Source organism: Homo sapiens, chromosome 3 (genome assembly GCF_000001405.40).
Source record: "Homo sapiens chromosome 3, GRCh38.p14 Primary Assembly".
NCBI lineage: Eukaryota > Metazoa > Chordata > Mammalia > Primates > Hominidae > Homo > Homo sapiens.
In genome coordinates this window covers 6,635,243-6,647,941 of record NC_000003.12, presented here as the reverse complement: position 1 = coordinate 6,647,941, position 12,699 = coordinate 6,635,243, and the positions used below count along the sequence as shown (strand labels likewise).

Here is a 12,699-nt window from a genome sequence, read left to right as displayed (position 1 = left end):
ATAAAAGCTGAAAGTTTTCTCATTTGAAAAAAATCTTTGTGTTCCTTTCTAAGTATTAAAATGATACCTAAATGGAACTGCAGAAAACTAATTAACAGAAATCCTAAAAAGATATGTATTAAATTTCTTGTCATATGCTTTGCTGATTCTTATGTCCATTCATACTTGAAAATCCTATCAAGCAGTTTGAATTGTCCTAAATAAACTCAAGAAAATAAAGACAGTATCTTCAGCTTTATTAGTTTTACAATCAGTGTGCAACTTGATTAAATTTGTTTAAAGAACTTTTTATTGAACGGGAAGGTTTAAGCATTCTTAATACTTCTATTGTGTAGCTTAAGTGTTTTTATTTTTTCTTGTAAACATACAAAATGCAAATATGCAGTGAATCCACAAATGATCTGAGTCCTCTCAGTTTACTTAGCCTTCACACCAATTGTGTTTCCTCTAGCATTATATTCAAAGCAAGGCTGTTCAATATAAAAGTCATGAACCTAGCTACATGGCTCCTGCAGTTTATGGAAATGAATTCCAGGTGAAACTTTACAACCTGTTGTTATAATTGGAGATGTGAAATATAGGATCATCTGCCCTGTTGTTGCTATACATTGCACAGAACTGCTAAGTTAATACATTGCAAAAATAACTGCAATGGCAAATTTAAATTTTCTAACCATTTGGAATACTCCAAATATACCAAAAGTTATCTAGGGAAAAAAGTAATGTATATTCATATACCCACCACATAGTTTCAGTTTGCCATATTTGCTTCACATTTTTCTTAAAGGACTTGATATTTACAGATAGAGCTGAAGCTTTCTGTGAACTACACAATCAATCACATTTCTCCCCTCCTCAACATCCCTTCCTGGGGGCCTACTCTCCTGAATTTTGTGTGTATTGTTCTTATGTATATTTTCATTCTTTTACAAAATGATTTCTCTGAAGGATATAAAACAACATTTTGCCTGTTTCTTTAAGCTTTATATAGATACCATATTTACATTATGCTCAGCACAGAATAAGGACCCAGTAAATGTTACTCTGTTTGATATTCCACATGCTTTATTTCCTCTTAACATTGCATCTGAGACTTAGCCAAGTTGATACACATAGTTCCAAATAATTTGCTTCAGCTGTGTTCTTGGGCTCTATTGTGTGAGTATGCCACAAAGCCAATCAAGTATTTCCTATCTGAAAGTGCCCTTTTCTTTTTCCCTTTTCTTTCCTGTTTTTTAGGGAGAGGGAGACAGGGTCTCACTGTGTCATCCAGGCTGGAGTGCAGTGATGCTATTACAGCTCACTGCAGTTTCAAACTCCCAGGCTCAAGCGATTCTCCCACTTCAGCCTCCCAGGTAGCTGGGAATACAGGTGACAACACGCCTGGCTGGGAATACAGGTGACACCACGCCTGGCTAATTTTTTTTTTTTTTTTTTTTTAGTAGAGATTAGGTCTCACTAGGTTGCCCAGGCTGGTTTCAAACTCTGGAGCTCAAGTGATCCTCCTGCCTCAGCCTCCTGAGTAGCTGGAATTACAGGTGTGAGCCATTGTACCCAGCTTGAAAGTGCCCTTTTATTTCTTTCCTGCAGTGACCCCTGACACCCAGCCATCAACTAGAGGCTGTTCCCCTACTGCCACCCCCTGCAGCCTGCCTACTGGTTTTATAAGGTACTGGGTGGGTGTAAAGTGATGTTTTTCTCTTGTAATAGGAGAAAATTGTTGGTTCTACTTAATAGACATACTGTTAGAGTTCTTAAAGTGATTAAGTATGCAGACTATGTAAATCAAATAAGTATATGAAAGAACAAGAAAGACCTTCTAATAAGCATATTTGTATTATATTATTTTTAATACAAATAATGCCATAATTAAGTCTATTTATATTTCCTTGCACACATACCAGTGAGTTTTTCTTGAATCACAGTTAATAGAATGGCTAGGTTGAAAATATGCATATTTTTACTTACTAGATACTAAAAAATTGCTCTGCAAATTGGTTTTAGTAATCTATTCAGACAATAGGGTCTAAGAATTTCCCTTTCTAAGTATATTTGCCAACACGTGTTATTTTAAGAATTTAAAATGTTTTAGCAGTCTGATAGGTGTGAAACATTATCTCAATGTTTTTACATAAATTTCAACAATTTCTAGAAAAGTCGAGCATCTTATTAATTTCTTGATTGGTCAGTCCAATCTGGTCTCTTCTGGAAATTGCCTGCTTGAATCTTTTGTCTACGTTTCTATTAGTTATTGTCATTTTCTGTGTTAATTTGTAGGAATTCTTTATAAATTTGAAATACTGATCCTAGGTTGTTTATATATGTTGCAAATATCTACCCCCAGTCAGTAACTTCACTACCTTAGTTTATAGGATTTTTGGTTGAACAGCACTTTTTTTTTTTTTTTTTAGAGATAGACTCTCTCTCTGTCACCCAGGCAGAGTGCAATGATGTGATTATAGCTCACTGCAGCCTCAAACTCCTGGGCTCAAGCAACCTTTCCCTTTTCAGCCTTTTGAGTAGCCAGGACTACAGATGTGTTCTACGATTCCTGGCTAATTTCTAAATTTTTGGTAGAGACAGGGTCTCAGTAGAACATGATGTTTTAAAATACTAATGTAGACCAATTTATCAACTGTTTTACTCAAGTTCTGTAATTTTATATTTCATTTAAAAAACCATTCTGTATTCTGAGTTTATAAAAAAGTTACATATTTTATTTTTTAGAAATTAATGTTTGCTTTATATAATTAGGTATTAACCTACATGTAAGTGATTTGTGTGCACTCGAAATGTACAGAATTATTTATATGTTCTAGACGCATAGCAAAAGGCCTCCAGGTTATTTATTTGCCCGTCTATGTTTTATTCACTGATTTCTAATGCCATCTCTACTATGCATCCCATTTACATTTGCATGCAGACAGGCAAGGTATTTTTTTCCTGGATTAAAAAATCTAGATCAAAGAGATAGTAGGTTATTTTAGTCAGCTCAGGCTGCTATAACAAAATACTATGGGCAGCTTAAACAACAGACATTTATTTCTCACAGTTCTGGAAGCTTTGAAGTCCAAGATGAAGGTGGCAGCAGCTTGAGTGTCTGGTGAGTGTCTGCTTCCTGGCTTGCAGATGGCCACCTCTGGCTGTGGCTGTGTCCTCACATGACCTTTCTAGGGTGTGCTCATGGAGAGAAAAAGCAAGCTCCTCCTCTTCTAATAAGGACACAAGTCTCATTATGAAGACACCTCTCTCATGACCTCATCTAAACCTAATTATTCCCTACAGGCCTAACCTCTAAGTCGCATGACATTAGGGTTTAGGGCTCCACCATATGAATGGTGGGGAGAGACACAAACATTCAATCCATAACATGGATATTTAATAAATGTTCTTTGACTCGTCAAAAGGTAACTTAAACTGATTCCCTGCAGCAGCCTATCATTCAAAACTCTTAGTTCATCTCTTCCCTCAATGGATATATTGCTAACCTTAGCTATACAGGAGTCACATCACTGTGCATTTAGCTTACAATATTCCAAATATAGACATCTGGGGAATCAAAAAGAGAAGAAGAGAAACAATATTAGTGTCTTGAGTGACTCTCTCTTCCCTTTCCTGAAATGAATATAACCCGAAGGGTCATGAACAGTGAACAGGGGGACATGAATTAGCTGTGCCTACAGTGGGTATGTTTCTGGGAGCCTCTGTCAGTGTGAGCGTCTTGCAGTGTGTTAAGTCTAGTTTAGAAATACGGTAGTCCATTCTTATTGTGGTTTTGCTTTTTCATGGTGTCAGTTACCTGTGGTCAATTGCAGTTCAAAAATATTAAGATATTTTGAGAAAGAGAGAAACAGAGAGAGACCACATTCACATAACTTGTATTACAGTAGATTGTCCTAATTTTTCTACTTTATTATTGTTGTTGTTCATCTCTCACTGTGCCTAATTTGGAAATTCATCATAGGTATGCATGCATGGGAAAAAAACATGGTACAGTATATATAGAGTCTGGTAAAATGTATGGTTTCAGGCATCCATTGGGGGTCTCGGAATGTATCCCTCCAAGAATATGAGGGTTCTACTGTAGTATCTTAATTTTTTTTATTTTTATTTTTATTTTTTTGAGACAGAGTTTCACTCTTGTTGCCCATACTGGAGTGCAATGGCATAATCTCTGCTCACTGCAACTTCCACCTCCCAGGTTCAAGCGATTCTCCTGTGTCAGCCTCCCAAGTAGCTGGGATCACAGGCATGCGCCACTACACCCAGCTAATTTTGTATTTTTAGTGGAGATGGGGTTTCACCTTGTTGACCAGGCTGGCTCGAACTCCTGACCTCAGGTGATCCGCCCACCTTGGCCTCCCAAAGTGCTGGGATTACAGGCATGAGCCACCGTGCCTGGCCTACTCTACTATTTTTAAATACTATTTTGCTACTTAAGATTGCATACACAAATCTATTTACAATGCACTTTATGTCCAGCTTAACGGATTTCTAAGGGCAATTTTACTAGACATGGATTTCACTATAACTACTGACTTTAAACCCTAATTTCTGAGTCAAACATGGCTCCACTGTAATCAACGTGTCAATGGACCACCAAAATACTGCTTTATCTTGAATAAGAGGTACAGATAAAAATACAACAGCTTTTAGCATTTCCTCATAAGCAGTGGTGAATGGGGAGACGCAAGGGTCTGCCATTAGATCAGCATGTCTTGGTTCCCAAGGTAAACACAGGCAATACCAGGACACTACAAATGTGGAAGCACTGTTTACCAGCTACATCTGGGCAATAGTTTGACCTTTTCCTCCTGGATGAAAATATGACCTGTTGACACTGTGTTCATTTCAAGAACCATGAAGTACCTGCAGTAGACTGAGTGTTCGTGCACCTCCCACATTCATATGTTAAAAAACTAACCCCTGATGTAATAATACTCCCACTGTCTCTGGCAGGTAATTAGGTCATGTGGGTAGAGCCCTCAGGATGGAATTAGTACCCTTTTAAGGAGAGACACACAAAGCTTGCCTCCTCTCCCTCTCTCTACCATGTGAAGATACACTCTGTAAACAGGAAAGGGATCTTTACCAAGAACATGACCAAGTTGGCACCCTGATCTTGGGCTTTCAGTTGCCAGAACTGTGAAAAATAAATGGCATTGTTAAAGCCACCCAGTCTTTAGTATTGTGTTATGGCAGCCCAAACTGACTAAGGTAGTGTCAAACATTATAAAGTCACAGAAAGGGACGCACTAAATTTAAAAGAGTTTGACTCTACCAAGAAGTGAGTTTCTCAAAGCTGGAGAGAACTGCTTTGCACAGACAATGGCACTACTGAGTGACTAATCCCTTTAGAAACAGGTGACCAATGAAAGCTATTCTGGTATTGGCTGCAGATGCCAATTCTCTGTGTGACCAATTCACTTTTGATATAATTTTGTTTATTAGCTTATTATATCAGAAACTTAATCTAACTCAGCCAGGTGTGTGGTCTTATCCAGACAATCTATACCCTACCTGAAACACATCACTGGATTCTTTCTCCAATGGCAAGTATAATCAGAATAACTTTACTGACAATTTATTATACCATAATGGTTTGTCTACTTGAGGAACTGAAGAGAACTCATTCTCTAAAGCATAAGAAAAATGTCCTTGCAGACTTAATCATAAGATGTTAGCTCTCATAGACATCTCAGAGACTACCAAGTCCTACAAAAATGGATAAAGATCTGAAAAACAGACACTGAGCAGTCCAAGGTCATCCTACTAAGAGGCAGAGCTGGTCTTGAACACAGATTTTCGAAATCTTTGTGCCGCTGTTGGACCCACAAAGCCAAATGCCAATAAGCAAACCAGAACCTATCAATGTAGCTATTTTCTTCTTAAACAATTTACTGCCTCAGGACATGGAGACCTAAATCTTTATGTTCCTAAGAGTTCACAGTGAAGGACACAAGAACAATGATGTCAACTGTGATTATCCGTACGACTCACTTATAATTTTTTTAAATGGACACGGCCCTAATTTTAGTCCACTAACTGTATTTTCCTAGAGTTATTTACTGTCTCAGAGAGTACCAGGCGTTATATGGACACTCAGGTCTCAACAACATGGAAGTAGGATGTGCAATTTTTCTTGAAGATTATTAAAATAATAGTGACAATAATAGCACATGTAACAATATAACTGCTAACACATATTGAGTGCTTACATTTAGTATTAAAGTTATATCTAAGTACTTAATATGCATACAATTATTTAATTCTCACAATAAACCTGTGCAGTAGGTATTATTTACCTCTGAGGAAACTGAAAAATAGAGGAGTTATATACTTTGTGGAGAAAGGATTTGAATCCAGAAATCCTTCCTTAGAATTCACACGCTTAGCCATTTTTACTGCGATAGTCCTATACAAAAATAGGGAGAAGGAATACAGACCACTTCCTTACCTTTCTGAATGTAGAATTTTAGTTCAGTAAAGAGGCAATTTGCTAACCAGATTGCTGGTACCATGAAAGAGTTAATGATGTTTCTCAGGTGGAAATTTCCTGAGCGGGAGTAATTCACACTCTGGAAAAATGTGGCCCAATATGTTAACATGATGAGTAAGTAAGTTCTATCTATTGAGGTGTTGAGGTTGACATACTACTTAGCATATTCTCTACACCCTGCGGATAGCAGCATCTGTATAATGTAGTCAAAATAAATAAGGCTTTGAGTGTATGGGAAAGATAATCACATATCACTTTACACATAAACATAAACTTGTCTGCTGTACCTGCTTGTGACAACTTGAGTTCTAAAAGAAGATGAGTCATTTCCAAAGAGCATCTGCCTCAGCCACTACCTTTATTGTTTCAAATACAGCTGTTTCCCTCTCAGATGTCACAAGTGCCACCACAGCTGACAGGACCCCCTTCAGGAGGGAAACAATATATGCTCAAGTTCTCAAAGACTCCCATGAGTATAAGAAGAAGGTCCAACTAGTGTATAAAGAGGGGTAAGATAGTTTCCATTGTCATTAAAGATGTCTATTCTAAAATGCAATAATTGTTCCTATTTTGGTATTTAGTCAATACATTGTTGAAGCCAATACAAATAGATACAGAGTCTTGGAGCTATGTCTCAGAAACTTTTCATTCCTGGGAATCAGTAGTTAAGAAATGATTCCCAATACAGGAAACGATTCATGCTGAAGGCCACATGACATGTAGTTGTGTGAAAGCAGAAACTTCTTTGCTGAACAAAAATGGAAAAGCTATCAAATAAATATGGTGCATCTATGTGAAGGAATACCATGCAATAACTAAATGTCACACTTAAAAAGTGAAAATCAGGGACTAGAAAACTATAAATATAATATTATATGATTTTGGCAAATTTTTGTAGTATTTTCTTAGCTTTTTAAAAATTTATGTTTTATTTATAATTGGCGCATAATTACTGTACATGTTTCTGGGCTGTAGTGTGATGTTTCAGGGAATGTATACATTGTATAATGACCAAATCAGGATAGTCATTAAATCCATCACTTTAAACATTCATCCTTTCTTTGTGGTGATAACATTAAAAATCTTCTCTTCTAGCTATCTTGAAATATACATTACATTGCTATTTGCTATAGTCACCCTACTCTGTAATTAAACATCAGCACTTATTCTTTCTATCCAACCCTAATTTTGTACAGTTGACCAACCTCTTCAGGTCCTCCCTCCCATGTACTCACCTCAGCCTCTGGTAACCACTGTTCTACTCTCTATTTCTATGAAATAAACTTTTTTGGATTCTACATGTGACTGAGATCACGCAGTATTTGTCTTTCTATGCCTGGCTTATGTCACTTAATGTAGTGTTCTCCAGGTGTATCCATGTTGTTGCAAATTATAGAATTTCATTCTGTTTTATGCCTGAATAGCATTCCAGTGTGTGTGTGTGTGTCTGTGTGTGTGTGTGTGTGTGAGAGAGAGAGAGAGAGAGAGAGATCACATTCTGTTTTATGGCTGAGTAGCATTCTATTGTGTGTGTGTGTGTCTGATATATCTATATCTATATCTCTCTCTATGTATATATATTGCATTTTCTTTATCCATTCATCTGTAGATGGGCATTTACTTTAATCCATATTTTGGATATTGTAAATAGTGTGCAATAAATATGAAGTGCAGATATCTCTTTGACATATTGATTTCATTTCCTTTGAATATATACCCAGTACTGAGATTGCTGGATCATATGACAGTTCTATTTTTCTTAAAATCTTTGGGAGGCCGAGGCGGGTGGATCACGAGGTCAGGAGATCGAGACCCTCCTGACTAACACGGTGAAACCCTGTCTCTGCTAAAAATACAAAGAAGTTAGCCAGGAGTGGTGGCGGGTGCCTGTAGTCCCAGCTACTCCAGAGGCTGAGGCAGGAGAATGGCGTGAACCCGGGAGGCTGAGCTTGCAGTGAGCCCAGATAGCGCCACTGCACTCCAGCCTGGGCGACAGAGTGAGACTCCGTCTCAAAAAAAACCAAAAACCAAAAAACTTCATATTGTTTTCTATAATGGCTGTACTAATTTACATTCCCACCAACAGTGCATAAGAGTTCCCTTTTCTCCACATCCTTGCCAGCATTTGTTATTTTTTTTGTCTTTTTGATAATAACCATTCTAACAAGCGTGGAGTAATATCTTCTCTGGTTTTATTTGCATTTCCCTGATGATTAGCGATGTTTTGCATTTTAAAATATATCTGTTGGCTATTTGTGTCTGGTTTTGTTACTTGCCTATTTTGGTCTTTTGCCCGTTTTTAATCAAATTATTATTATTTTTGGTACTCATTTGTTTGAGTTTCTTATATAGTCTGGATTTTAACCCCTTGTCATTGCATACTTTTGAAAATACTTTCATCCATTTTGTAGGTTCTGTCTCCATTCCGTTGATTGTTTCTTTTGCTGTGCAGAATCTTGTTAGTTTGATGTAATCTAGTTTCTAATTTTTGCTTTTTGTTGCCTGTGTTTTGAGGTCTTACTAAAAAAAATCCTTGCCCAGTTCAATTTCATGAAGTGCTTCCCTTATGTTTTCTTCTAATTTCATAGTGTCAGGTCTTTCACGTAGGTCTTTAATTCATTTAGAATTTATTTTTGTATATGGTGGTAGGTAGGGATCTAGTTTCATTAGTTTGCACGTGGATATCCAATTTTTCCAGCGCTATTTGTTAAAGAGACTGTCCTGTTCCCAATGCGTGTTCTTGGCATCTTTATAAAAAATCGGTTAGCTGTGCATGCATGAATTTATTTCTGAACTCTATATCCTGTTCCACGGGTCCGGGTGTCTGTTTTTGTGCCACGTGACATGCTGTCCTGTTTACTTTGTGGAATATTTTGATGTCCAGTACTGTAATGCCTGCAGCTTTGGTCATTCTGCGCAAGCCTGCTTTGCCTATCCAGGGTCTTTTGCGTCTTCAAATAAGTACCAAGGTCCTAGAAATTTTTGTAATCCACATTCTCATTTTCTCCCTTCTTTCCTTCGGCCCTTCTTCTGTTTTCTTCCCCATTTCCTCCCTCAAACATCAGAAAAATGTACTGGAGAATGTTTGGTTAGAAAAAAAAAAAAAACAAAATGGTGAAAGTAGTTTTCTGTAAATGAATTGGTTATTGTTGTTTCACCTTAAAAATGTAAAAAGTGAGAATTAAAGATGTAAAACAGCTTTGCCCAAGGAATACAGAACTACTAAGCCTGGGTGGTGCCATGCCGTGTTTCTTCCTGCCTACCCACTGAATTTAATCCTCCAATTCCTCAGTTGTAAAAGGATGATCTTTCTGATCTCTTCAAACGCTGATATAACCAAGTCCAGTCTGATAGGTTTGTATGATTTTCATATTCTCACCACGAAAAAGTGTGTCAAGTAAGTTAATAAGGTAATTGAATTATGTTAATAGAACTATCAGGTCTTTAATGTGTATGTATGTGAAAACAAGTTTGAATTGAAATGAATTCTTTTAAATAAATGAGCAGATATAAAAATACTTCCTTCAGTCATTTATTTATTCACTTGCCATGTATTTATTGAGCACCTTTGGTGTCTCAGACCTTGTGCTTGATACTAGTGATAGAAAAATCAGTAACATAGGTCTTACTCTCAAGAAGTTCACTGTCAAGTGAAATCTCTCTGTCTCTCTCTCTCTCTCTCTCTCACACACACACACACACACACACACATTAAAGCTACACACATGCTGTGGTAATTATAGTGATAGTTATGTGCCCAGGTGTCAGAGAGGCAAACAAAATATTAACACAACTATCCAGCCTGTGAAGAATTTTTGGAGGCAAGAAGAGAATGTCTTAGTGAAATTACAGAGTATGAATAGTTATCTAAAAAGGGATAAGAAAGAATATTCCAAAGACAAAAACACTCTGAGTTTAAAGTGAAGAGTGGCAAGACATGAGTTTGGCCAGCTGGAGTAGACAACAGAGAAACGTGTTCACCTGTGAAAAAATTCAGACTTGAATCACTGGAGAGAAATGACAAAAAAAATTTTTTTTTTTTGAGACAGAGTCTTGCTCTTTCGCCCAGGCCAGAGTGCAGTGGCGCTATCTTGGCTCACTGCAAGCTCTGCCTCCCGGGTTCACGCCATTCTCCTGCCTCAGCCTCCCGAGTAGCTGGGACTACAGGTGTCCACCACCGCACCCAGCTAATTTTTTGTGTTTTTAGTAGAGACAGTGTTTCACTGTGTTAGCCAGGATGGTCTCGATTTCCTGACCTCGTGATCTGCCCGCCTCAGCCTCCCAAAGTGCTGGGATTACAGGCGTGAGCCACCGCGCCCTGCCTACACCTTTTATTTTCAACAGCTGCTGGAGAGAATGGCTTTATAAGAGATAGCCTTTAGTGGGCCAAGCCATGATCCAATAGACCAGTTCATGTAAAAGACATGGAGAATCTAAATTAGGGTGGTGGCAGCAGGGATAGAACAGAAAGGATAAATCCAAACACTAATTAGATTAATCTACATTAATCTAAAGGTATGGGCATTTCCAATATATACACATCCACAGCTTTGCATATAATTTTAGAGAGTTCAAATATCTCAGAGCTCATCTTGAGAGTCCATTAATCCTCAATGAAGGCTCCTTTGTCTGCAATAAGTAAAACTGTGATGAATGCCTATGGAAATTAGTTGGAATTAATTTTCAGTTGAAATTATTAAACTACCATTGCTTTGAAGCACTTAATAGTTAAGATGGCCTACTCCTCAAACTAACTGAGTAAAATTTTATTTTAGATATGATTTCTTAGGAAATAAAAGTATTCTGCTTTTCCTATAAAAAGAAAAAAAAAAAGATATTCATTATTTCATTTTCCCAAGGTACATAAAAGCTTGGCATTCCTAAGGCACAAAACAAAACACGTAACCGATGCATGAAAAAGCTAAATGAATTTGCACTAGGTCATCTATGTAGTATATCTTTAATACCTTGTTAAGTGAGGACTTGCTAAGTCCAAAACTATAACTGTAGAATACTTACTTAATTGAGTAAGTGGACAGAGATATTTTAAACTTTAAATCATAGGTGTCAACTCTATGAAATGCACTTTTTAAATATCACACACAGTATAACTATTATGTATTTTACTATGACACAATTGAAAGTTATATTGATCAAATTTTGCATTCTTAAATAGCAAAGATATAGTATTGAAATAAAGAAAATACATGGATGACCGTATCATTTAGCAGATGTGTGGTTCAGATTTTCAGCATATTGGATGCCAATAAATAGTGACAGTGAAACCACCAAATGACAGCATATGATTACTTCAGTTTTGATTATTTGGCCTTTGACTATTTCCTCCTTGACTCTATCCACATGACCAAACTATGGACAGGGGAAGGAGTGAGTTACTATAATTAACAAAAGAGGCTAAAATTATTAGCATAGTGACAGAGAAAAATAAGAAAAATGAAAATTGATAATTTATAAATTGGGTATTTCATGAATAACCCAAATTTACTCTACAAAACTTTTAATTTAATTACACAAAATGGTAAGAACCTAAAAATCTCTTTAAAAATTACTCAGTAAGTAAAATTATAATAAGTGATGTTCTATTTATTGACTTTGGTGAGGGTTACATGAGAATGTTCATTTTGAGATTATTTATTGAACTACATGCACCTTTCTATACTTATTTTAGCTTCCTTAAAGACCTTTAAAATCTGAATACATAATGAAAAGTAAATACGGTTACAAGGGCTTTTCAAGGTGTAGACCTTATTTGAAGAAGAAAACTTTGGAAGAGTTTATATCTAGCTAAAGCAATAACTGAAGTTCAAAAATTTGTTCTTTGAAGTGCAATTACAAAAAGAAGTTGTCCGAATGGTATATGACAAACAACTGCTATTTGGGGAACTTAATAGATGTGACTTTACTGTGATCAATGGAACAGTCAGTGCTTTCTAATAGAACTTTCTGTGATGTTGGAAATTTCCTTTATCTTCATTGTTCAATATAGTAGCCACTAGCCACATGCAGCTACTGAGCATTTGAAATATGGCTCCCGTGATTAAGAAATTGAGTTTTAAATTTAATTTAATTTAAATTTATTTACATTGAGAGATTCTATGTGGCTAATGGCTACTGAATTGGACAGCTAGAGTAAGCAAACTGAAATCAAATGTTTACCTTTAATTTTCAAGTTAATGAAG

At 36.6% G+C, this 12,699-nt stretch overlaps 2 long non-coding RNA genes across 20 annotated transcripts in view, besides 1 other annotated feature; one reads left to right on the top strand and one right to left on the bottom strand.

Moving 5' to 3' along the window:
* The window catches only part of LOC105376944 (uncharacterized), a 246,298-nt gene that overhangs the window by 88,798 nt on the left and 144,801 nt on the right, over positions 1–12,699 (bottom strand). The gene's annotated exons all lie outside the window — the stretch shown is intronic.
* GRM7-AS3 (GRM7 antisense RNA 3) overlaps positions 1–12,699 on the top strand; it is a 173,092-nt gene that overhangs the window by 157,508 nt on the left and 2,885 nt on the right. The gene's annotated exons all lie outside the window — the stretch shown is intronic.
* Positions 3,146–3,235: an enhancer, noted in NCBI's record as "active region_19389". NCBI's record gives its function as "activates an Ori minimal core promoter by ATAC-STARR-seq in GM12878 lymphoblastoid cells {active_cell/tissue: GM12878}" and the evidence as "EXISTENCE:reporter gene assay evidence [ECO:0000049][PMID:35858748]".